Source organism: Homo sapiens, chromosome 7 (assembly GCF_000001405.40).
Source record: "Homo sapiens chromosome 7, GRCh38.p14 Primary Assembly".
In the NCBI taxonomy this organism is placed as follows: Eukaryota; Metazoa; Chordata; class Mammalia; order Primates; family Hominidae; genus Homo; species Homo sapiens.
In genome coordinates, this window is record NC_000007.14 from 120,314,104 (window position 1) to 120,341,229 (window position 27,126).

The 27,126-nt window shown below is 33.8% G+C and overlaps 1 protein-coding gene across 2 annotated transcripts in view, besides 1 other annotated feature; it reads left to right on the forward strand.

Annotated features, from left to right (window-relative positions):
* The window catches only part of KCND2 (potassium voltage-gated channel subfamily D member 2), a 477,430-nt gene that overhangs the window by 41,196 nt on the left and 409,108 nt on the right, over positions 1–27,126 (forward strand). The window lies entirely within an intron of this gene.
* Positions 1,226–1,345: an enhancer, noted in NCBI's record as "active region_26551". NCBI's record gives its function as "activates an Ori minimal core promoter by ATAC-STARR-seq in GM12878 lymphoblastoid cells {active_cell/tissue: GM12878}" and the evidence as "EXISTENCE:reporter gene assay evidence [ECO:0000049][PMID:35858748]".

Here is a 27,126-nt window from a genome sequence, read left to right on the forward strand (position 1 = left end):
CTTGCTTCAAAAAGAGTCCTATACTAGGGTTTAAAAAATCAACAAATACAGGAGGAAAGAGAAATATTCAGATTCAGTGAATTTATTTCTTTTTGAAATTACTTTTGTACAAAATGTATAGGAAATATGTTTATTTTCAAAATGCATTGAACCCGGGAGGTGGAGCTTGCAGTGAGCCGAGATCGCACCACTGCACCCCAGCCTGGGTGACAGAGCAAGACTCCATCTCAAAAAAAAAAAAAAATGCATTTTTTTGGTTAGATTAAGGCAAAGAGAAAAGATAATATGGTTCTCTTTTTTTCCCTAACTCTAGGTTAAAAGACTAATTAGTAAAATTGATAATGTATGGACAGTGTGGGAGAATAAATGTGTAATCAAATTAGTGCTTAGTAATAATTTGGCATTTCATACATTTTATTGTGTTTATACCATGTTACCATAAAGAATAAATTATAAATCATATTTTATGCACAGATAAACAGACTTTAGAGGCTTAACTGGTCATTCATACAGCTAATATATGTCAGGGCCCGTATAAGCGATGGATCTGTATACAACATAAAGGTTGCCTGAATGATTACAAATTTGTTGTCTCTATAGTATAATATTACAATGCAAAGCAGTGAATAATGGTAGTCCATTGTCAAGATAAAGGTTATGTAACTTGAAATCTATAGTAGTCTCTACATAGATGTGGATGAATCCACATTGAATATGAAAGTATACAAAATGTTATTTAAAAAAATTTAGTATGTTAAATTTCATCTCCTCATTAGCTGTTATACCTTGCAAGCTTAAGTCACAGAGCTCTTTCTTTACTGAAATAATGCATGTTATCACCACTGAAACTTTTTTTTTTAAAAGAAAGCATGCACAGCACACACATGCACACATACACACACATCTATGGAAGATATAAAAAGTACAATTGTTGAAAGATATATGGAAGTAAATTATCAATTTACCAACTGATTACAGCTTAGTTCAACTTAAATTGCTTTGTAAAGGGAAAAAAAAGCATCTATTAATATGATTTATTTCAGATCCATGCAAGCTTGAAAGAATCGAATCTCTCTGAGCATTTCATTAGGGTTCCTGCTGTCTTCCACGTTCCCCACCACCATTCATTGACAGGCTTAACTCTCAACCACAAAGGGAGAGTTTGAACAGACCCAAGAGTTTTCTGTGGGAATTTGTGCATCTGTGGGAAACAGTACTTGACTTCATATTTACTAAACTTGAATCTGAAAAATCCTTTTTCTACATAGCATGGATGCTTCTCAGTGTCTCTAGGCGGTTAAGCCCTAAGGGTATCTTTAGGGTAACACAGTGGAACCGGAAACAATGTAAACCTTGAATTTTCCACAGGAAAGCAAAGGGCTAAGGATCAGAATGACACCTACATTGTATACTTCTCCAGTGAATCTCGGTGTCGATTATTTTGCCAGATACAGAAAATAACACACGTAGTGCCTATGAAATTTTCAACAAATTCTGGTGCCACCCTTATGGGATAGTCCCTAAAGCCCCCAGAAAGTCAGTCACTTGAAATAGTTCCCCTCTATCAGCATACTGTAAATTTCATAGTCATAAATCATTGTTGTCAATGTAGGGAAAGTCAAGCAGTGAGACACGAAATGTTTTGTGGTTTTTCCATAAGCAGTGTGTGTGTGTGTGTGTGTGTGTGTGTGTGTGTGTGTGTGTGTGTGTGTGTAATATTTGAGATTTTTAAGACATAGTGAGATGGACTAAAAATTTGATCCATTGAAAACTGATGAAAATTGAAGGTGATTGAATCTTTAGGTAACATTTCCAAAGGTGTTTGTGGATGTATCAGAATTCCAGATTTCTGGAGGGAGGAGGCACACATTGAAACATAAAGAAGGAAAGTATACAAAAACAAATTCATACATACCTTAAACATTCATTGATGGTGCTCAAAGTAGGAAAAGGTGGAAATATTTGTTTATTCCAAAAAACTAAATACATTCATGGTTCGTAATAGATCATAAAAAACTAAAATTTGGCGTTTATCTTCCATTTTAGAAACCTAAAAGAAAAAACTATACTCTTTTACATTTGCCTTAACATTTCTGTCAAGAGTTGGAAATCCAGGTGCTTCTGCTTTCTGTACTACTTTTCTTTGCGCCTATTAAAACTCCAATTTTGCTTTGAGAGAAAGAAGAATGATTCTACTTCTCAGAATATTTAGCTAGCTATGTGATGCAGAGGCAATTTTCAGATTTACATTCTTATCACTGCTTCTGTAAGCTCAATTATTTTAACAAGGTCTTTCCAATTTCCCCTAATGTTTTTCATAACTACCTTGAACTTACATTTAAATCAAAACTCATTTGTGAAATAACTCATTTCTCCTAGACTTTTGAAGCTTTCAGCATCACACGTGTAGGAAGTTACTGTTTCTATGTGTAAAAGTTTGGTATAAATGTTTCCTTTTTATTCCAATGGATTTATTAAGTGTTAGCCAAAGCCACTCATGTAAATTTTAGGTTTGCATTTTTATTAGTTTATTTGCAATTTGTGTTGACATATTGGCCACTTATTCTGATTACGATGAAAAAAGACTAAACTAAGCCTTTAAAACAGGTGTACTAGAAGTGTCCATGTGTAAATTTTTTCATTTGACCAAGAATGATATCTTTTTTTTGTTGTACTGAATTATTGTACTTTATGTGAAGGAAAAAAAATCAGATTGTGACATCCTAATTGCAGATAATTTTTTTTTTTTTTGGGACGAGGTCTCACTTCATCACCAGGCTGGAGTGTAGTGGTGCAATCTCAGCTCACAGCAACCTCTGCCTCCCGGGTTCAAGCGATTTTCCTGCCCCAGCCTCCAGAGTAGCTGGGACTATAGGCGCATTCAACGATGCCCAGCTGATTTTTTGTATTTTTAGTAGAGACTAGGTTTCACCCTGTCAGCCAGGATGGTCTTGATCTCCTGACCTCGTGATCCACCCACCTTGGCCTCCCAAAGTGCTGGGATTACAGGTGTGAGCCACCACGCCGGGCCCTAATTGCAGATAATTTTTATGAATCATTTATATATTCAACACTTTATTGAACAGAAGTATTATATATATCAAACTTCTTCAATAAACTGTTAGGAACACTTTGACCTGCTTTTATTATGAGTTGTAAATATTCTGAAAAAAACATCAAAATGATGGCATCAAATTCTCTAACATATGCATTAATTGTAAATTAGGTAATTTTTGTATTAATATTTCATTAACCTTTACAATATTTCAACCACTATGTATATATATGTATCATACCTAACTCATGTCAATTGTGTCTTTAATTATTAATTGTGTCTTTAATTATTACATTTAATTTTTACATTTTTCTCCAAAAAAGGAATGCATTTTTCTGTATTCAGTGTGAATTATGTATCTTTTACCAACAACATCTCATTCTAATTAAAAGTACCTATTACATTATTTAGTTCTAATATACCTTATTAGTTACTAGTTACCCAAAATTTAAGGATAGGTTTAGAATACTGCAAAGTACAACAAATTGGTTTTCATCCTTATACTTCATCCGCATTTGATTTGTGTAACTCTATGATATGGCTGAGATTGCAGTACATGGCTTCAGAAATTAAATTGTCTTTAGAGATTATTGCTTCTGTGCATGTGTAATTAAGTGTACTCATTATTGTCTATAAAGCCGTAAAACCCCACAGTTTTATGGGAAGAATATAAAGCCAATGATTTCAAATCAATCAGTTGGAGAGAATTCTGAGATGTTCCAACAATTAGTTTTGTGAAAAACTTTAAGATACACAATCTTCCTGCAGTCAGCCTAGATAGATAAAGTAGTAAAGGCTCTGCCATATTAATTAAACAAGCATTCATTAAGCACCTGCTGTGTATTTGCCACCATGTTCTCTAAGGTGTGAGGGTTGATGTCAGAGATGTCAGAGGGTTATGAAATGTTAGATTTGAAAAGAATTTTAGAGTAAATCTTGTCTAATTTTTATTCTTTATTGCTGAGACCTGGAAAATGCAAGTGGCTTCAGTTCTCACATCTAAAATTAGTATCAACACTAGAGTTAGAATGCACAAGAGAAAACAAAATTATATTGAGTGGACCTAAGAGTCAGAGTGGGTGTTGGGTTGACTACAAATAGTAAAGTGTAAACTGTACAAATTACATAGTGATGCCATAGGAAGCAAAGTCAAAGAATGATTACATATAAAATTTGATTTATATCACTAAGTCTAGATCATAATCCTAGGCTCTTTCAGAAATAATGTCAAATACTCTCATTGATTCTATATGAAAGGTGAATAGCATTCTCTGTGAATTGGGGCACTCATAATGACCAAAACTGTGCTGAATCAATACTTTTATAATACTTTAATAAATTATAACATCAGTCACAACACTTATGTGTTTGGCAACATATTTATTTGCTTTGATAGCATTGTTACTTGTTCATTTGGCCTGGAAAATTCCTTGAAATAACTCCATGGTGTTCTAAATCCAGAGATTGAGAACCAAATAAAATCTGATGAGAAAGTTTTTTCTTCAGTGGTGTGTTTAACATTTTAGTGCTTCAGGATTAACTTCCAGGTCTCATGTTATGAAGAAATACCAGGAACGAAATACTTTTTACCAATATAAACAAATGAAGTTCATATTGAATACTAGCATATCAGATTCAGAAGATGGCTTTTCACATGTTTGTACTGATCTTTGGAACAATGCATTAAACATTTAGAAACAAATAGAACATCATTCACTTGTTGGGTGAATAGGAAGATTAAACATAGCAATAGGAAGATTAAACAAACTAACCTTATGGTAAACTTCAAATATTGTAAAGATGATTTGTAGTTTAAAATATTCACTTATAATTTTGTTCTATTATCATCACTACAATTCAACAGATTTGCTCAGTTTTCCTTTCACCTATTACTTCTCACTCCTCTCCTTCCCTATCATAGTTTTACTACATGGAAGCATCAGAGCGTTTAATTTTATATTTTCTAAGCTGCGTTTCCTTCCCATTAAGCTAGCTAATAGAGATGACTCTATTATCTTTCTTCCTGAATGAACTCTAAGTTTGCTATTTGGTTTTTTTCTTATTTCCTCTAAAGCCTTCTAAAATAATCTCAGGCATCCCTCCAGAATCATTGTGGAGTAACAAGGGCATAGCTATGGAGGTACTTTTTATTTTTAATAGACAAGTAGAAAAAATTACACATTTTCAAACAAATATCAAGTAAAAAATGGGACACATACCTTGCATTTACTCTTCTATCACATATACTTTCTATATTAGAATAGACATTCTTATTAACATTAGGCACAGGCTCTGGGAATTGAAATTTATTCATACAGTAGATAATCTTTTAGACATATTGGTTATGAAAAGGAAGGAGAATTGGATACAGTAACCCAGAAGCAAGTTCTTTTTCTGCTTCTAAAGGCAGGTCAAAATAAATAACACTCTTGCCGATATATCTAAAACATACCATGTTTTTACCTCTTCTTCATTTAAGCCATTGAAACAACACAGTAATTTCAAACATTTCGGAATCATTTCAAAAATATTGTTAAGATAATTAGATAGCCAAGAAGATAAGTTGTGTCAAGAAACTAAAGATACAATTTAATGTAATTATGGTATTTTTTCCATTCTTAATATAAACATTTTGCCATCCATTTAACATAGTAGAAGCCATATAATCAATATTATATTTTATGTTTTTAATCTATATATTCTAATTAGTATCATGCTGCTTTTAAAGCCATGCAGTTTTTTGTTTTTTGTTCTTCTTTAACATGCAGAGTTTAGTTGGTTAGCATTGAATGGTAGAGAACGTATATTAGTTTAGGCCTATGAAAATGCAAAAGTGCAAGATTGTTATTAATTTGATTTAAATAAATACTGAAATTAAAATATATTGAGTCACTCAGTTTACCTGAGTGGTCCTGTTTCATCTTGCGCTTGTCAGTTGGTACCACTTGTACAATAACAAACATTGAAAAAAATTTGAATTGGGAGTATGTGCCAGACACTGGAGATACACAGAAATTGTGTAGGGAAGACAGGCACGTAATATAGTAATATAAGTATAATAATGGATTGTATAGAAGTACAGGGGTGTTACAAAGCAAATTATTATATCTGCAAAGGAGAGTTAAGGAAAGATTAACTTCTATAAGAAGTGTCACTTTGGTCTAGCCTAGTATAATGGATGTGACCCTACCATTGTCTAAGATTGGAATGGGCACCCAGGGACTAGCAGATGTGAAACCTGTAAGTGTGAGAATTTGGTATGTCTAAGGAATGGCAAGTGGTTCAGTGTGCGAAGCTTACAGTGCAGCCAGGGTGAAGAGATGAAGGTGGCAAATTAGGGAAAAGGCCTTTCCACTCTACAAAAGGACTTTCACTTTATCCTGTCAAAGACAGGGGATCACTAAGGAATTTCAAGACAAGAAGTAACAATGTAGCTGCACTTTGGAAAATTGATTGAAGCAGGGTTGACATTGAAAGCAGGAAAGTCAATTAAAAGTTTATTGTAGTGGTTTCAAAGGAAGAAAATGAGAGTGAAGATGTAGTAAAGAAGAGAGACACATTTAGAAAGCAAAAGCAAAGAACTAAGAGTCTAAGTGGAAATAGGATTTAGAGGAAGGGAGGTGATTGCTCTGTCGCTAACCTGGCTGATAGAGTCAGGGGTAGAACCATTAATCAAAATACAAAAATGCAGGAAGAGCAAGTTTATTGGAGAAGATAAGTTCACTGGGGGTATATTAAGGTTAAAGCGTCTGTGGAAATGTAAGCTTCCTGCAAGGAAATAGCTTATGAATGAGTGAAGAATTTTTCAGTGGGCTTTTGTTTCCAAGTTTCGAATCTAGGTCAGAAGTGAGTGTTTGACAGTGCCCAATTCATAGTACCTTCCCAGCATTAAATGCTAACCTTTTTTTCCTGTATGTATGCATTTGTAAATTAATCCATTCAAGATATTTTTGTAGATTTTTGCTATGTAGGCATTGTATATATATCAGTAAAGAACACAGCCTCAGCCCTCCACTATTTTAATTTAGTAGGAAATACTAAGAAGTAAACTAATAATCATAATAACTTGTGACAAGTGCAGATTTACTACATTCTCATATACAGTTACATCTATCTATGTTTTTTCTGTATTCATCTTTGGATTTTATTTTGTTTTGTTTTGTTTTTGTGTTGTTACATTGTTTAGGCATGTCTTGAACTCCTGACCTTAAGCAATCCTCCTGCCTCAGCCTCCCAAAGCTTCAGTGTTATAGGCATGAGCCACTGCTCCTGGCCCAGGATTATTTATTTGTTAGAAAGTTACAGATTTTTAACATAATTTGTCTAAGGGCTTTATATTTTTGGATATCAATATACTTTATTTAAAAATTTATTGTCCACTTATATTTGAATATTATTTTTTTTCTTGTTACTGAAACTATAAAAATGTGTTTATACTTTTAAAATATCTCATATTAGAGATTACAAAGGTGAAAGTACATTGCATTGTGCCTAGCATGGAATATACACACAAGCAACACTTTTTCTTCCATTTATTGACTTTGCTCTGGAGTCCTTTTCTTTACATATACTGCCTAATGTTCTTTTTATGTCCAACACGCTTGCTGTTCCATATTTCATGATTAAGTCTTTTATAAAAGAAACCAAATTTTGGGTATCTTTCTGTCCTCACCAACCTAATCACAGTTAATCATTTCTCAATAAGCATTTGTTGAATACTCCGTATAACATTCGGAAGATGCTAAAATACATAAAATATGTTCCAAGTGCAGTATGGAAGCTCAGAGAAGATGATGTTAATATTAATGAGAAAATATGAGTAGGAAATTCCCACAGAAATATCTACAAAAAATGATAAGGATATTGCAAGTAGAGAGAACAAGTTAATGATTCATAGGCATTAAATTATGTGTATTAAAAACAAAGTAAAAAATCACAAATACCTTTAAATTTAGAAAATAAAGAAAATTTAATATCAAGTAAATTAAATATTGATATGTCAGTAAAAAACCTTTTTTTAAAAAAAAGCATAATTAAAATCAATGGAGGAAATAAGATGTCCTAGTTCATAGCACTTTTCTATGTCAAATATAAGCTGCTTGGATTTAATAGGCATATAACATTTAGAAATATAATGTAAATCAGCAGCCACTTGTTCTATATTACTTTGCAGATGGGGAAACTGAGACTCACGGATATAAATTGCTTCACATAGGTAGAACATCCTCAGTGACAGGATAAAAACAAAACCTAACTCCCTTTCTTTGTCTACTGCTCTTTCTGCTAAACATCATTGACAGGTATAGCATAAGTTAAAGTTTATGGTGTTTTAAGGAATACAGTTCATAAAGCAAACAAAATTATTTCTAGTTATTTCTAATGTAACTTATGGTTGTGATTCTACAATTTTGTGTAGCTTGCATAATGAGATGTTATGCATATTTCAGATTTTTTTCATTTACAAAGGAAATATTTATTTTAATTTTGTCACTGGCATTGTCTAACATCTAAAAAGTCTCCATATCCTGTTCTCTGGGTGTTAACTCCGGTTAAGAATGAAAGATGGCACTCCTCTGTGTTAGCTAGTTATTAGCATTTTCTATGTCTTGAGTAAAACTCAGTAACTTTGTCTTTTGATAACAGAAAATCTGTCTGAATACACGGTGTTTAAGGGTTAGATCAATCAATTCTTTGTTTTTTATCTAGTGCCATTAAATTGAAAATTTTAAATTAGATTCTAGATATTACTAAAATGAATGCTTTAATTATAATTTTCTGATTTATAGTATAAAATAAATAGTTTTAAAACAAAGTCATTGATCAGCACAATGATGTTTTGTTTTTAAGTTCTGGGATACATGTGCAGAACGAGCAGGTTTGTTACATAGGTATACATGTGCTATGGTGGTTTGCTGCACCTATCAACCCATCATCTAGGTTTCAAGCCTCGCATGCATTAGGTATTTGCCCTAATACTCTCCCTTTCCTTACCTCCCACCCCCGACAGGCCCTGGTGTGTGATGTTCTCCTACCTGTGCCCTGTGTTCTCATTATTCAACTCCCACTTATGAGTGAGAACATGCGGTGTTTGGTTTTCTGTTCCTGTGTTAGTTTGGATTAGCACAATGGTTTTATTTATTTATTTTTTTATTATTATACTTTAAGTTTTAGGGTACATGAGCACAACGTGCAGGTTAGTTACATACGTATACATGTGCCAAGCTGGTGTGCTGCACCCACTAACTCGTCATCTAGCATTAGGTGTATCTCCCACTGCTATCCCTCCCCACTCCCCCCACCCCACAACAGTCCCCAGAGTGTGATGTTCCCCTTCCTGTGTCCATGTGATCTCATTGTTCAATTCCCACCTATGAGTGAGAATATGTGGTGTTTGGTTTTTTGTCCTTGCGATAGTTTACTGAGAATGATGATTTCCAATTTCATCCATGTCCCTACAAAGGACATGAACTCATCATTTTTTATGGCTGCATAGTATTCCATGGTGTATATGTGCCACATTTTCTTAATCCAGTCTATCATTGTTGGACATTTGGGTTGGTTCCAAGTCTTTGCTATTGTGAATAATGCTGCAATAAACATACGTGTGCATGTGTCTTTATAGCAGCATGATTTATAGTCCTTTGGGTATATACCCAGTAATGGGATGGCTGGGTCAAATGGTATTTCTAGTTCTAGATCCCTGAGGAATGGCCACACTGACTTCCACAATGGTTGAACTAGTTTACAGTCCCACCAACAGTGTAAAAGTGTTCCTATTTCTCCACATCCTCTCCAGCACCTGTTGTTTCCTGACTTTTTAATGATTGCCATTCTAACTGGTGTGAGATGGTATCTCATTGTGGTTTTGATTTGCATTTCTCTGATGGCCAGTGATGGTGAGCATTTTTTCCTGTGTTTTTTGGGTGCATAAATGTCTTCTTTTGAGAAGTGTCTGTTCATGTCCTTCACCCACTTTTTGATAGGGTTGTTTGTTTTTTTCTTGTAAATTTGTTTGAGTTCATTGTAGATTCTGGATATTAGCCCTTTGTCAGATGAGTAGGTTGCAAAAATTTTCTCCCATTTTGTAGGTTGCCTGTTCACTCTGATGGGAGTTTCTTTTGCTGTGCAGAAGCTCTTTAGTTTAATTAGATCCCATTTGTCAATTTTGGCTTTTGTTGCCATTGCTTTTGGTGTTTTAGACATGAAGTCCTTGCCCATGCCTATGTCCTGAATGGTAATGCCTAGGTTTTCTTCTAGGGTTTTTATGGTTTTAGGTCTAACGTTTAAGTCTTTAATCCATCTTGAATTGATTTTTGTATAAGGTGTAAGGAAGGGATCCAGTTTCAGCTTTCTACATAAGGCTAGCCAGTTTTCCCAGCACCATTTATTAAATAGGGAATCCTTTCCCCATTGCTTGTTTTTCTCAGGTTTGTCAAAGATCAGATAGTTGTAGATAAGCGGTGTTATTTCTGAGGGCTCTGTTCTGTTCCATTGATCTATAACTCTGTTTTGGTACCAGTACCATGCTGTTTTGGTTACTGTAGCCTTGTAGTATAATTTGAAGTCAGGTAGTGTGATGCCTCCAGCTTTGTTCTTTTGGCTTAGGATTGACTTGGCAATGAGGGCTCTTTTTTGGTTCCATATGAACTTTAAAGTAGTTTTTTCCAATTCTGTGAAGAAAGGCATTGGTAGCTTGATGGGGATGGCATTGAATCTGTAAATTACCTTGGGCAGTATGGCCATTTTCACGATATTGATTCTTCCTACCCATGAGCATGGAATGTTCTTCCATTTGTTTGTATCCTCTTTTATTTCCTTGAGCAGTGGTTTGTAGTTCTCCTTGAAGAGGTCCTTCACATCCCTTGTAAGTTGGATTCCTAGGTATTTTATTCTCTTTGAAGCAATTGTGAATGGGAGTTCACTCATGATTTGGCTCTCCGTTTGTCTGTTGTTGGTGTATAAGAATGCTTGTGATTTTTGCACATTGATTTTGTATCCTGAGAGTTTGCTGAAGTTGCTTATCAGCTTAAGGAGATTTTGGGCTAAGAGAATGGGGTTTTCTAGATATACAATCATGTCATCTGCAAACAGGGACAATTTGACTTCCTCTTTTCCTAATTGAATACCCTTTATTTCCTTCTCCTGCCTAATTGCCCTGGCCAGAACTTCCAACACTATGTTGAATAGGAGTGGTGAGAGAGGGCATCCCTGTCTTGTGCCAGTTTTCAAAGGGAATGCTTCCAGTTTTTGCCCATTCAGTATGATATTGGCTGTTGGTTTGTCATAGATAGCTCTTATTATTTTGAAATATGTCCCATCAATACCTAATTTATTGAGAGTTTTTAGCATGAAGAGTTGTTGAATTTTGTCAAAGGCCTTTTCTGCATCTATTGAGATAATCATGTGGTTTTTGTCTTTGGCTCTGTTTATATGCTGGATTACATTTATTGATTTGCGTATATTGAACCAGCCTTGCATCCCAGGGATGAAGCCCACTTGATCATGGTGGATAAGCTTTTTGATGTAGCACAATGGTTTTAATTAATAGGTGAAAATAATAACTTGGAAGAAAAACTGATAATATTTTAAAAATAGAACCAGCCATTTAAAAAAAGTGGTGTTGGTTTGAGTTGAGATTTTTGGAGTTTATGATCACTGAGGTGGCATTGATGGGTACTGCTATGTGGGGTCAAACTTGGGTCCTAAAGGAACCCTGTATTCACAGCAGGAGAAGAAAGCTGACATCAAAGGGAAAGCAGGAGAATAATAGTTCAATTACCAGTGAAATTAGGTACACTGGTTTTCAAAGTTTTTCTTAATTGTACAAATTGATTTTTTAAAGACATGAGCTTGATAAATGAGAAGTGGTTGGGCTCACATAAACATTTATAAATGAAAGTATTTTGGGGATCATTTTGTTTACTGAAGTTAATGTATTATTAAAATATCATTGTATAGAAATGTAAATACTTATATTGAGTAAATATAGAACAGTTTGTATATTAAATATGCACTTGATTGGGGAGGACTAATGACGAATGTACCTATGCAGATGTTGCCTACTCTTCCTTTGGGCTGCCTAGAAAGAGCACTCTGATAAATTCAATGTAACCTTTTTAATACAGTTTATTAATAAATGTTTTATTACTTTATGACAGAGAGTAGAGAAATGACACTCGTTTTAACTTTGTTCATTGACAGCTGGTAAACAAACAGGCAGACATTTCTGGCTTAATTACAAAAATAGAAAAGTGATTACAATAATATTCATAATAATCTATTTTTAAGTGACTTTTTCGATTACAACAATATGCATAGATGTGTGTAAACATTCATGCATATTTATAAAGTAAAATCAAGACTAATTGGTAGCTCATTGTTGAAGGGAAAATATATTCTATCTTGTCTTCAAAATAGAGAATTAGAAGAACACTTCAAGAAAGTTGTGCAGATAATTATATTCAGATTATATGAGAATATGGATACAAAATGATCAAAATAAATATTAATATTTTTCTTCCACATGTTCTGCAAATATGTATGGAAATATAAATATTTGTATTTGTTTGTCTTTATCTTTTGTCTTGCCTACAGGAAAGTAAACTGCAGGAAAGCAGCAATATGGTCTGCCTTGTTTACAGCAGCATAACCTTTACTGCTAACAGTGTCTAGACCTTGGGGATTGTTCAGTAAGCACTGATAGGTGAATGAATAATGTACTGAACTATCTAATAAGTGCAGAACAAAACAAATGTGATCTGTTGCCTTCATGTCTAATAGATCTGGTAGGGCTAGGATTTAAAAAATCAAATACATCAATAAATATTTATTTACAATTGTTAAGTGATGAGGAAAAATGCCATTTTTTTAGATTTGAATGTTACTTTTTGTTGACAATAAGTCTTTCTTACACGTTGTAATAAACTATGCAATCTACAAAGCTTACTATATTACTTAACTTTAGGATCAACAAGAGAAAAGATTTTAAACATGGACTCTATTTCTTTTCTGGCAATTTACATTCTAGAATTAAGAGTGTGAGTTTGAGTATAGTTACCCATGGTGACCTATTAGCATAAAAGGTCTTTAGAGACTGCAGATGGTATAACACAGGATGTACATTAAACCTTTCAGATGTAGATGTGCCAACATAAGTTTTCACACACAAACTTAGGAGGAAACTTAATTATTACTAAATTCAGAATGTGTTTGTAAATGTTTTTATCTCCACATTTATCTTAAACATTACTTAATAGAGACCAGTTAACATTTAGAATTCCACCTCCTTCCTACCTATATGAAGAGTGATTCTTCCAAACTGTAAATAGGAGTATTCATTATTTCAACACTATAGACAAAACCTTGCTAGAACCAATCCTGAATTGCAGCAACTAAAGAAATTTATGAATTAATAACACTATAGGAAATAGTTCTAATATGAGGTGCATAATATGCTATTTGACACATTTATAGCCTTCCTTGTATTTATTCAACTCTGTTTCATCAGGAAGGGATGGAAAATATGCAAACTCAGATCTTTGAAAGGAAGTACATTATAGTGCATATTGTCTAATCACTCTCACTGCAGAAGTTGCCTTTTTTTTTTTAGAAAGTTTTAAATATAACCTTCTTTTAAAAGCAAACTGTTCTTGGTCACTTAAAAGTTCTTGGGATTTATTTTTTAACTGAGTTACATGTAAAACTTTTTGAAAATATTTATTCTATAAGATGTTCCATGTTCTGCTGAGCCTTTTCTTCCTTAGTTGAGTTTGAGAACATGCCATAGCAACTATGTCCCTAAATCTGCAGATTCAATATTGTCTCAGATCACAATGAGCACCTATCAAGCTCTACAGCACATAATCACCTATGGAGAACTTTATCTTAATTTCTCTCAGTTACTTCCTGTCATTATTCTGCCTGCTACAGCCCTTGTATTTCATGATACAATGTCATGGCATTCCCAACTGGACCTGGTGGTGGTATTGTTCAATAGCTCAGTCTTTATTGATAGAGTTTCCATTGCTTAGTTCCATACAGAGCTCTTATGAGGTATTGTTATTGAAAGAGTTCCAGAGTGTTTAGGTAGGCAAATTCATTATTAATTTTTTACTTGATACTTGATAGTATTTATTGGATATTAACTTTGTGCTAGGCTCTGTGAATTATCTCATCTAGTTTTTAGAGAAAAACAGTTGGGGTTAGCATAAAAGTTCTTTAGAGATTACATTTTATTATCCTCATTTTATAGATGAGGATTCTGGCAGTTACAGAGTTAAAGTAACTTTCCAATGCCATTCAGCTAGTAAATATCAAAGTTGACAGTTTAACCAGGATAATCTCTTTCCCATGTAAGCATGCTTAAGGACTATACTATGAATAGATGATGATGATGTGTTACAATCTCAAGAGAAAGCATTTTATCTTAAATAATGAATGAGTGAGTGAATTAGTACATAAAATGTATATTAACACCAAAGAAAGGGAGGAAAAACTTATCAAAATATGGTGATAAATTTCTGATCTACAGGTAACTTATCTTTCATCTTTACATTTTCTTCTTATCTTCAAAATAGGGAAATCATTTTCTGAGCTCATGTATAAGAAACGTAGATTTTAAATGTACATTAGAAATTGTCTTAGTTATATATTCTTGATTGTGTAAATTATGCAAGTTAGCAGATGATATTTCAATAAACATATATTTAATAATGATGAAACTCAACTTTCAGTATTATTTAACAAATCATGTTTTTATCTCTCTAAAGTCATTTGGGAAATACCATAAAAATATCTTGCTATGAATTGTTCAATTGGTTACTTATTTGCCCTGTCTTAATTCAGTTTTAAATTCTCTTAATCTAGATAATGGGCAGCTACTGCAATCTACTGTCATGGAAATAAAATAACATTTTGTGGAAAGATGAAACTGAAAGATAATTAAAATATAACTAGCTTAGTCTTTTTTTTTTTTTTTTTGGAGATGGAGTTTCACTCTTCTTGCCCAGGCTGGAGTGCAATGGCATAATCTTGGGTCACTGCAACCTCCGCCTCCTGGATTCAAGTGATTCTCCTATCTCAGCCTCCCGAGTAGCTGGGATTACAGGTGCCCACCACCATGCCCAGCTAATTTTTTGTATTTTTAGTAGAGACAGGGTTTTACCATGTTGGCCAGGCTGGTCTCAAACTCCTGACCTCAAGTGATCCACTCGCCTTGGCCTCCCAATATGTAGCTTAGTATTTTTTTATACCCACTCATACCTTCTGAATCAGGACCTTAATATGAATTTTCCTTGCCACCTGAAAATTAAGTTAAATCTCCCAAATGTTTATTCTGATGCTATTTTTATTAAAATGATAAATTTAATACATTTTGAAGGAAAAAAACTGTTGCTTTTCCTAGTTGAAAATTGAGGAATTTTGTTCAATAAAATGAGGGCTAATATATCTTTTTCTGGTCATTTTGTCTTTTCTGAACTGACACTTGCTTCCTCAAGATTTTTTTGACAATGAGGGAACTATTCTTAGCTCCAGAATTTGCGGTGATTTGATAAAATTCTTTCAAACTACCCTTAAATTGGATATTTTAGGTACCAAATAGTTGAGTTAGTCTAGGCAGTGAAGGAAGTACTTTCTGCTATTATCCATATGATTAAGAGTTTTAAAGAGTGCAGTGAATTTCTTAATTTAGACAAATGTGGAGAATGCTTGCTGATTGTGCTGCAAATTTGTCCAGGACTCATGTTGTTTAATTATTCATGACTTTAAAAGTAGCATACATTACAATTTTGCATCTGTAGATTATTAATAGAATGCTCTTTTAATAGGATGTTCACCACTGAGAAGTGTTTGTCATTTGTTAGTTTGCTTTGTTTTGCTGTAAATAAAAAAAAGGTCTATAGAGGATGTATAGAATAATCAATCCAATGTCTAGATTGACACTACCTGGGTTGAAAACTCAGCTCCCCATTCACTAGATATGTGAACCTTAGGTAAGCTTCTTAAACTTTTTTTCTGTCAGTTTCTTCCTCTCTAAAATGAAGGTAGTAAAATACCTACTGTAGGTGAACGTAGTGAGGAAAAAAAATGAACTAATCTATCTTAAATACTCAAGTGCCTGGCGCATAATAAAAAAAGTAGGCTGGGCGTGGTGGCTCACGCCTGTAATCCCAGCACTTTGGGAGGCTGAAGCAGGTGAATCACCTGAGGTCAGGAGTTTAAGACCAGCCTGCCCAACATGGCAAAACCCTGTCTCTACTAAAAATACAAAAAATTAGATGGGCATGGTGGCAGGCACCTGTAATCCCAGCTACTTGGGAGGCTGAGGTAGGAGAATCGCTTGAACCTGGGAGGTGGAGGTTTCAGTGAGCTGAGATTGTGCCACTGCACTCCAGCCTGGGTGACAAGAGCAAAACTCTGTCTCAAAAAAAAAAAAAAAAAAAAAAAAAAGTTAGCTAACATTACTCTTCTCAATATAGTCCTTTTCATCAAACTCAAACAAAAGCTTCAGAAATAAGAAAAAGCACCAGAAGCTGTGGTACTTATATCCATTAGTCTATCAAAGGCAATGGATGGGTACCATTTTAGAATGAAAAATTATAGAATAATCTTGAAGGTGCAGAGCAATTAATATACGTAGATGTTTGGCTATTTTATTATTTTTTAATGCCACTGTTTCTAAAAATGCATGGTGCTTTCAAGACCTCAATAAGGACTTTAAAAATACCTTACAAACTATCAATGTTGTTAGTTATGTAAGATCCACAAAAACATCTAAATGAAATTAAAATGAGGAAGAAAAATATTTCCAACTGAAGATTGAAATAAAAGAAAATGAAGTTGAAAATGTTTTAAAGAAAATAGTTTTTGTGTGATTCTTTGTTCTTTCTTAATCATTGTGTAAGATTTCAAAACTATTATTTTCTTAGGTTTTGATATATTACATTCTGAAAGTTAATCAGTCATAATAGTATAAAACATTTGAGAATATGTTTTTCCAAACTTGTATTTTAACCATATGTTCCATTCCTTTTTCACTCTCATAATTAGAAAGATAGTCATGTTGCCCAGAACTTAAATTAAAAGAAAGAAAAAGAAAATCATTTTGAAGCAAATTAATAACTTTTGGTTAAAATTAATTATCTTTGTGATTTTAATTTGTAACAGAAAAGGATCAAGGTAAAGGCCCTTTGCTTTTCCTTTCTTCCTTATCTCTTTTTTTTGAAAAACAAATTCTTTTTAATTTTGATGTTTGTACATTTTTACCTAGGTAGTTTTTAAAATTATTTTATCCTTATCCTGGGATCCCAGAGATGCATTTTAATTACAAAAAAAGGAAAAAAGACAAAGAGTGAGAGAGAGAGAAAAGAACTTGTGCATGCATTATGTTTGAGGGAGGTATGAGAAAAGTAAATTTTGCTGGCATATACCATATTAGCAGAAACGATGAGATGATTGATTTTGTTTGTGTTAGTTTTCATAACCCCACAAGTAAGTGAAGAAATTAACAGTGATTATAAACTAATATCTATACTTTTAATTTATCTTCTAGAACAATATATGAAAAGTTGTCATATTAAAGGAAAAATGTCATCATAATGAATTACTTTGTGGCTAACTTGAAATTTCAAGTGAAAATCTCCAAAGAACTCTCAAAAATCACCCTGATGTTTGCTGCATATTGTGTCATATCCTAAGACTTTAAAATACCTTCATTTTATCCCATTATTTCTAGTCATAGGCTCCCCACTCTCCTTTTCTGTTTCTCTTTTAAAAATTTTATTTGTATTTTATTCTCCTGTTCGACTTTCAATTTATTCACTCCATTATCACCACCTCTTTGGAGAAGGGGATGTTGTAAAAGCCTTCTTCTACATTTTCCTCTTCCCTAGACTTTCGGTTGGCTTTAAAAATATCAGTATCTGTTCTCCCCTGCAACCTCATTCAATTGAAATTGATATCATTAATTATCTCCAATACCTATTACAATGGCATTAGTAGAATGTAAGTTAAGCAAATTAGCTTCTGAAACAGCTCTTGAATTCTTCTTACCAAATTACAATAATGATAACAATTATTACACCTTAAAAGACTAGATAAAGGCAAATATACACTTTTGGAATCATTTTAAAATGTTCATAACTTTCAGTCTATTATGAATTCCTATTGCAGTATTTCCAAATGTGAGTACCAAGGCAATATGCCATGTATATTTTATTCATGTTTTAAAATCAGTGATACATTTACAAACCAAGTTTGAAAGGACTAATTATGTCAAGTAACAAAAAGTAGGTAGATGTGGTTGACATCTCTTAGAATGTTCTTTATTAAATGTAAGAAACCCAAATGCAGTTAGATTTTCATTTAATCAAGCAGTGTTTTTAGTATAAATGAATGGCTATTGAAGCCTTTATAGCCTGTACGCTTTCTTAAATGCTTCGCTGAATGTTTAGCACTCTGGCATTCCAATTTGGAGCTTCTTTTAAAGGAGGCTTTCATAAAACTTTGGACAGAAACCTGCTCTAGAGGACCATATGGGTTATTGTACAAAAGAGAAACAAATTATAAAAGCTCATTGTTACTTGATTGCTTAACATTTTTCTCTTCTTTTTATAAAAACAAAAATTAGATTAATCAGTGACCTACTTTTGCTTATACAGCCCAGAGAGTCAACAATTTATATAAAGGTTTATATTTAAATTATTTTATAACAAGCAAAAAGAGACCTAGACAAGCCTTTTAAATTAAGCAAACTCTTATCCAAGATAATAGACTTATTTAACCCATTCAAAATCATTTCACCTTACATACAGTTTAAAATTATTTAGATCCATCTGCCCATCCAGAGCTGTTGTGAGTAGTCTTAAGAGTCTATGGTATCTTCTAGAATTTGTCTTCATGACATTCCATACAGCATTGTCTGATGATTGGAAGAATATGAGTCTGGAGAACAGAGATCTGGATCTCATTCTGTTTCAGTCACTTAGTTATCATGTTATTTGGTGTGTTAAGAAAATTGAGGCTTAGTAGGAACGAGTTATTTATAAAGGGGGTTCAAGTTATTCCTTATCTTCTTCACAGACTTATTGTAAGGAACAAATGAAATACTGTTTTCGAATTGCAAAGGGCTTACAAATATATGGGTTATCATACTAGAGATTAATTGATGTAATTATGTTCAAATGAGTTTTTGCTACTTGGCCTCATCTCACCCAGGGTTAGTTTCTCTTTACACTCAGGTTAGCCATCTTTCAGGTTGTTACTATCAATTACCAGAAGAAATAGAAAATATAACATGGACAGATTCTAAGAAATTCAACTCCATTTGTTCAAAAACAGCACAAACCTTACTCAAACCAGCAAACCCTGTTTATGATAAAGCACTTTCGGATTTTTGCTGTAATGACACAGTTCAAAGCGTAAGAAAAATTCAATAAAAATTTGTGGAAATGATTTTAATATAATAATTTCCAGAATACAGTGTGCTGATTGCATAAAATTTGACACTCTAAAATTTATTGATTTTATTATTATTATACTATTATTTTGATCAAAACAGATATTTTAGCTAGCCACTTCCATTCATAGCAACACTTTGGTTCTGGGTTCAATAGAGTTATCTATTAGCATTCATCAAAATAAATTATGGTTGCTCAGTATTACACTGTGGCATGGGTTTGTAGATAATCTTTCAGGGCTGGTTTCCAAAATATTTTTCAAACATCTTTCGGCACTTTAGATCTTAACAATATGTGACTACATTTTTTAAAAATATATTTTAACATGTCATGTGTATATAATCATTTTGATTTTCTGTGAATAAATTATAATCAGAATTTTGTATGCTATAGTATAAAGGCAGAAATAGAAATTGGGTTCTTGAGGTAATACCTTTGTTTATGATTTTTAAGCCAGTTTTATTTTTGTTTTCTGTTTCAATGGACAGCTCTGTAAGAGGAACATAAGAAAACCTGAGTGTGCTTAAAAAGGGTAACAGGGGTCTTGAATCCATGTCAAATGAACATTAAGAGGAGTAAAATAGTTATGGCTGTTTAGCCTAAATAGAATATTCAACTATCAAATAGAAGTGTTGAGATGTTTGGGTTGCCATTTCGAAGAGTGATTTTACTTATGTACGTATTAGAAAGGCTAGAACTAACACAACTCGATGATGGTTACAGGGACATTAACATCTCTTTAACAAAATGATGGATTTTCCAAAAATTTCAGTCTTATAACTTAGAATTGCTTTATTTTTCTAATAATTCTCATTTATTTGGGATAGATCCTCTATGTTTCTGCAGTAATGAATATGTCCTTACTAGAGTTGATAATTAACTGTCCCTGACTTGAAAGATACCTATTTCAGTCAAGGTCAGAAATAAAAATTACTTTCTCAGAACCTGCAGACAAACCACTTAGTAACACTCTGTAAAACCACACTTTCCGTATATGGGTGTTTGTTCTAACAGTCTAAGCATCATAGATGGTATGCCAAGGCTCCACAGAGGTCACATGGTTTTCAGTAGTGCCAAGGTGATATATATTTCACCTCATCTTAACATTCTAGTAGGGTTACTGTGTTCAGCAGTAGAAACAGTTTATTTGCATCACCCCCAGGACACACTGTGGTAAAATATAATGAGTCTTCTTAATATGTAAGCAATTCAGGCATAGGATTTAAATTGTATTACAGTAAACAGAGAAAAGTTAGCATTTTTTCCTTTTGCCAGTTCCTTCTTCTAGAATAGAATAATGTCATGGTTCAGTAATCCATTCTCCAACATGGATAGGACAAGCACCGGATGTGGAGATGACACCATGAAGAGTACAGCTTGACCATGTTAAGTCTGTCAAGTCTTACTCGCATCCCCACTGAAGAGGAAAAGGCTAGGAGAATAAAATTGAGTTTAAAAAGTAATCCTGGCTGGGCGTGATGGCTCACACCTGTAATCCCAGCACTTTGGGAGGCCAAGGTGGGTGAATTACCTGAGGTGAGGAGTTTGAGACCAGACTGCAACATGGTGAAACCCCGTCTCTACTAAAAATACAAAAATTAGCTGGGCGTGGTAGTGCATGCCTGTAGTCCTAGCTACTCTGGAAGCTGAGGCAGAAGAATCACTTGAACCCAGGAGGCAGAGGTTGCAGTGAGAATATGCCACTGCACTCCAGCCTGGGCGACAGAGCAAGACTCTATCAAAAAAAAAAAAAAAAAAAAAGAAGGATAGGAACCATATAAATGAACCTGATAGCAGGCCTTGGTTTGTCCATGGCTTGCTTTATTTATTTATTTATTTATTTACTTACTTACTTATTTATTTATTTATTTATTTATTTATTTATTTATTAGACAGAGTCTCGCTCTGTCGCCCAGGCTGGAGTGCAGTGGTGCGATCTTGGCTCACTGCAAGCGCCACCTCCGGGTTCACGCCATTCTCCTGCCTCAGCCTCCTGGGTAGCTGGGACTACAGGCGCCCCCCACCACGCCTGGCTAATTTTTTGTATTTTTAGTAGAGATGGGGTTTCACCGTGTTAGCCAGGATGGTCTCAGTCTCCTGACCTTGTGATCCACCTGCCTCGTCCTCCCAAAGTGTTGGGATTACAGGCGTGAGCCACCGCGCCCGGCTGGCTTTTTTAAAGAAAAAATATTTCTTCCTTTTCTTCCCTGGCAGCAATAGTATGGCGATTGCCATTTACAAGTAAAACTTCACCAAACTTTTTACACTAGAAACACAGATTAATTACTAGGTTCTTTTAAATATTTTTTTTCTAGTATGCTCAAATACTTAATCAAACTTAGGAAAGAACAAATAAGCAATATCACAAATAATATTGCATAAGGAGTAAAAACATTCTAATGCAAAAACTCAAAACCATAATTCCTAATTTTTTTGGCTAACCATTATTTTTTAAGGTGGGATAAACATATAGTTATATATTTTTTCTTTTAAAAAAATTTTCATCACAGGAATTAGTCGGAAGTAACCAAACGCACTGCTCAAGAATATTGTAGAATTTATTTAAGGGCAATGTTGATAGCTAAATCAGATTATGTCTATAGACATTTTCAAATCTGAGCATCCTTGGTTCTGTTAATAATTACCCCGCTTTCGCAGTCCCAATCTCTTAAATTTGGGATTTTCTGAAGATTGTTCATATTGTCATCCAATTTGAAAATGCCAACTTCTCTTTTTATTTTTCTTTTTAGGGTCATATATGTTTTAGAGTGGGCTTTTTCCAAGTCTCTTGACACGGTCCATCTTGTGATTGCATGTGTAACTTCTTCCTTATGAAGACATTGTTTTTTGAAGCCAGGTTCCGTATATTATAGAGTTGAATTTTATTAGCATTTATTACTTTATTAGTATAGGGATGTAGATAGTAGCTATAGTATTTATTTTATAAATGGATAAATAATTACATAAACCATTTGGATTTTAAGTTTTAATGAAGCCAGTAAAGTCCTTCTCCATGTAGAGATAGCATTATTCCAGTTCTTTGCTGATTATCTTTCTGAAAATAAAATCAGTTTTTCTAATGGTAGAAGCCCAAAAGAGATGAGAAAAAAAAATCACTTTTATGTGTACAGACATAAGGGTGCATACATATCAGCTAGGATGTGTGTTAAAATCCTCAAATAAGTGGAAGATTAAAGGAAAAGCCCAAATCAGTGTTTTTAGAAGGATCTCTAGGAGGCCACTCTCTTGAACCCTAAAACACTAAAATTAAATTTTAAAAAACTGGTCTAATAAATTAGTTTCTCTCCATCATGGCTTTGTTTACAACTTAAGCTCTCTATCTCCACCTGAAAGGGAAGATTGACTATACAAAAAATTTAGTTAACTTTTGTTTGGCTTTTTTTTTCTTGGAAAATTCATATGACAAGTAAAACAAAGAAAAATAATAGAAGCCTCTCCACGTATGTAACTTTAAGGTTTCTCACAATTTCGAGAGCTTGTCATGCTACAAGGTGAAAGTCATTCCTTTAAAAAAAGTATACGATTTAATTTTGAAACAAGAGGAACTGGATAATATTGTTTTTCACCACCTAGAAAACCAAATAAGATTCTTTTTATTTATTTAGTCTTTGCAAATAGGTAATTTAACACATTCAGTATATTGTGAAAGAATTGCCATGCAGGTAGTAATTTTGGCAATTGAAGTTGAAGTCATTTTTAAATCTCCTATTCAAGCAAAGATTATCAAACCTAAGATGTATGTAAAAACATCAGGGCCTAGCAAAGATTTTGTTTAGTGAGCCTCTGTCAGCTCAGAGAGTATATAGTGGAGCAGTGTGGAATATTAGAACATTGCCACTAGGGGCAGGAGACCTGGGTTCTGTTAATGAGTAGGTATTTTTAAGACTTTCACTTCTATTTCTCCATTATCAAAACCAGGAGATTGTAATAGACTACAGTAAATTCTCTTCCCATTCTAAAGTCATATATCTGTAACTTTAACTTTCTAGATCAAGAAACTAATAGGTGTATGTGTATAAAGATGCAGGTAAGCCAACACCTGCAAATAACATGTGCATATAATGAAAAATAAGCACAAGTCTAGAAAGAGCAAAAGGAAGAAAGATAATAACTGATTATTCGTTTACAAAAGTTGTAATGAGGTGTGATTATTGTTTTGGAAACAAACTTTATATATTTTCTGACATTGTATCAAGAACTTTCTTCTGAGAAATGATCCTAAGACACTGTATTCTTTTGAAGTTTTAAAAGTTTTTATTGAGCTGCCCAGAAAAAAGTCTGTTTGAACATAATATGCTGACATGGTGCATCAAAAAAGTCAAGCTGTTTTACATTTCAGAGTTTCACAGTGATAAAAATTGTCCTTTTATCCATTAAATATAACATCTTTACACAGGAGAGCTCTGATATGAAGATCTTTAGAAATTTGAGGAGTTAATGGGTACTTAGATGTTTGTTATTCCTGATTGCTGTGCTGTCATTAGGCATCATAATTATGAATATTTCATTGTCTCATGTCATTTTATCACTTTTTAAATTCATTTGTGTCTTAGTGTGGTACGCTAATCACAAGTTCAAAACAACTAAAATATGAAAAACCTTTACAATTCAGACATAGTGTTTGGGTTTTGTTTGTATCCAGTATCTCTTACTTCTCACTAGATAATAGAAAGTACAGTGACTTTTCTAAGTTATATAGCCAATCTTTCCCTGACTTATTTTGGGCTTTGTTTTTTATCTAAATGTTGTACATTTTTGCTTTCATTCTTTTTTAAGGGCTTTGTTTTTTATCTAAATATCGTATGTTTTTGCTTCCATTCTTCAACTATTTAATGTGAAGATAGATTTTTTAAAGCATATTGAAATGGTATTTTGAAGTTAACTATAGAATATTCTACCACGTTCTTTTTTATTATTTTTTGTTTTCTATAGGCCTAGTATTTCTTGGGGATATGATTTTATCAACCGAAATTTTTCTTATAATGAGAAAACTTACAAAATAATTTTAAATTTTAAATTATGTTTTAAATGTTTTGAAGGTTGTCTACATTTATAGACATTTGATATGTTTTTAAATTTATTTTAGTTGTATAATTGTTTTAAATTGTCAGTTAATAAAATAGTTATTTGGTTTATTTGGCAAACATATATTTATATGCACTCATAATTTTCTACAGAGAGTTGGGTGTAGTAAAGAACACTAGTCTACTAGAAAAGAGACCTGGTGTCACATTCTAACCTTGCTACTATCTTTTTTTTTTGAGACAGAGTCTCACTCTGGTGCCCAGGCTGGAGTGCAGTGGCATGGATCTCAGCTCACTGCAAGCTCCACCTCCCGAGTTCACGCCATTCTCCTGCCTCAGCCTCCTGAGTAGCTGGGACTATAGGCACCTGCCACCACACCTGGCTAATTATTATTTTTTTTTTTTTTGTATTTTTAGTAGAGACAGGGCTTCACCGTGTTAGCTAGGATGGTCTCAATCTGACCTCGTGATCCGCCTGCCTCAGCCTCCCAAAGTGCTGGGATTACAGGTGTGAGCCACAGCGCCCGGCCCCTTGCTACTATCTTTAATAGCTGTGTAATCTTAGGCAACAGTATATAACATTGGCTTTCAATTTTCTCATTGCAAACCATGTAAAATGTCCCCCATTACTGCAGTATTCAAGCACAGACTAGAAAAGCAATATGAAAAAAAACACATAGAAGAAATATAAATATTGCATGCATTGTTGGATTATACCACCTTTAAGGTTCCTCACAAATTTGAGAGCTTATTATCCTATATACATAATTATTAATTATCCTTTAGATGTAGGCTGTCATATTTCAATTAGTGAGGACAGATTTCCAATTCTCTTTAGAAGGCTGTGTGTGTGTGTGTGTGTGTGTGTGTGTGTGTGTGTCTGCGTGTGTGTCCAGGTGAGTAGGATATAAGTTTGAGCAAGCTTATGCTTCACTATTTTATATAGAAAATATTTTCTGAACATCTACCAACTGTCCGGGACTATTCTAGGCACTTGGGTTACATTAGGGAAACCCACACACGTGCGCACATAGACATGTGCACACACACACAAATTATTGAGATAGTAGAGAGTGGTCAGTGCTGTTGAAAACACAGAGCAGAGGGAAGGGAAGGGGATCAGGTTGCATTTTTAAATTAGGTGGTCAAAATTGGCCTCAGTGAGAAAGTGGCATCTGAGCAAAGACTTGAAGTTTAGGGGAATATCTAAGCAGATATCTGGAGGACAACACTCTTAAGGACTAGTGGCAGTGCAAGCCTTCAAAGCATGTGTATATCTGGTATGTTCACTGTATAATAAAGAGGACAGGTGGCTAAAGGTAAGTGAATGAGGGAGCCATTAGGTCAGAAAGGGAGTGGAGCCTAATCATATTCACTGTAGTGTTTCACAGGTGCTTGTAATCACTTGACTTTTACACTGAGATGAAGAACTAGTAGGGGATTTAGAGCAGAAGAGAGACTTACATTACACAAGGATCACTGTACCTACTGGGTTCAAAAACAGTTTGCACATAGAAGAAAGAAAACCAGTTTAGAAAGGAATATAGTAATCCACGTAAGTGATAACTGTGACTTGGTATCAGGGTGGTATCAATAGAAATTTTGAGAAATAACTGGGAATTCTGCATATATGTAAAGATATTACAATAGGATTTCCAACAAATTGGATGTGTATATGAGAGAAGGGAAAGATCTGAAATGAAGCCAGCATGTTTGTTTCATCAACTGAGCGGATGCTATTGCCATCCACCTATGTGAGAAATGAGAAAGAATCTTAGTGGAGTAAGTTTGTAGGGGGCAAAGGAAACGAAAACTTCAGTTTTGGGCATGCTAGTTTTGAAATATCTATTTGACATCTCAATGAAATGTCAGGTAGGCAGGGATAATAACGTGGTTAGAAGAGAACAATTAGTGTGGCGTCATGGAAGCCAATAAAGAAAGTATATCAAGGACAATGGACTTGATGTTGATAAGCCAAGTATGGTAAGAATTGAAAAGATGGCCATTTGATTTGGCAATCCAGAGTTCATTGGTGATCTTGACAAGGATGCTTTTGTTGTAATTATCAGAGGAAACACCTGATTGGAAAGGATTACAAATTGTAAGAGGATGGAACTAGTGTTACTAGCAATGGTCAACACTCTCTAGCTATTTTGTTGTAAAAGGGAGAAGACAACTGGAATTAAAACTAATGGGCAAAATGTGGTTTAAAGCAGGATTATGTTTCAGATTGGAGAAGAATAACATTTTTGTTTTGCTGGTGGTGATTACTATGACTACATAAGGAAAAAATAGTGACGCAAAGAAAAAGAAGTAATTCCAATGTGTAGTTTTAAATAGGTGAAATGAATTGTATTTGTGCATAAGGGAAGGTTTTACTGAGGAGAGAATATTTTTATCTCAAGAAACTTGATAGAGAACAGAGTATATGAGTTTGGTTGTGGGTACATATATGAGGCTGTGAGACTTTCTGAAGCTTCTCCCTGGTTACTTCAATTTTATCAGTGGAAAAAGAAGCAAAGTCATGAACTGAGAGCATTAGGGTGGAGGTGTTCAGAAGAAAGGAAAA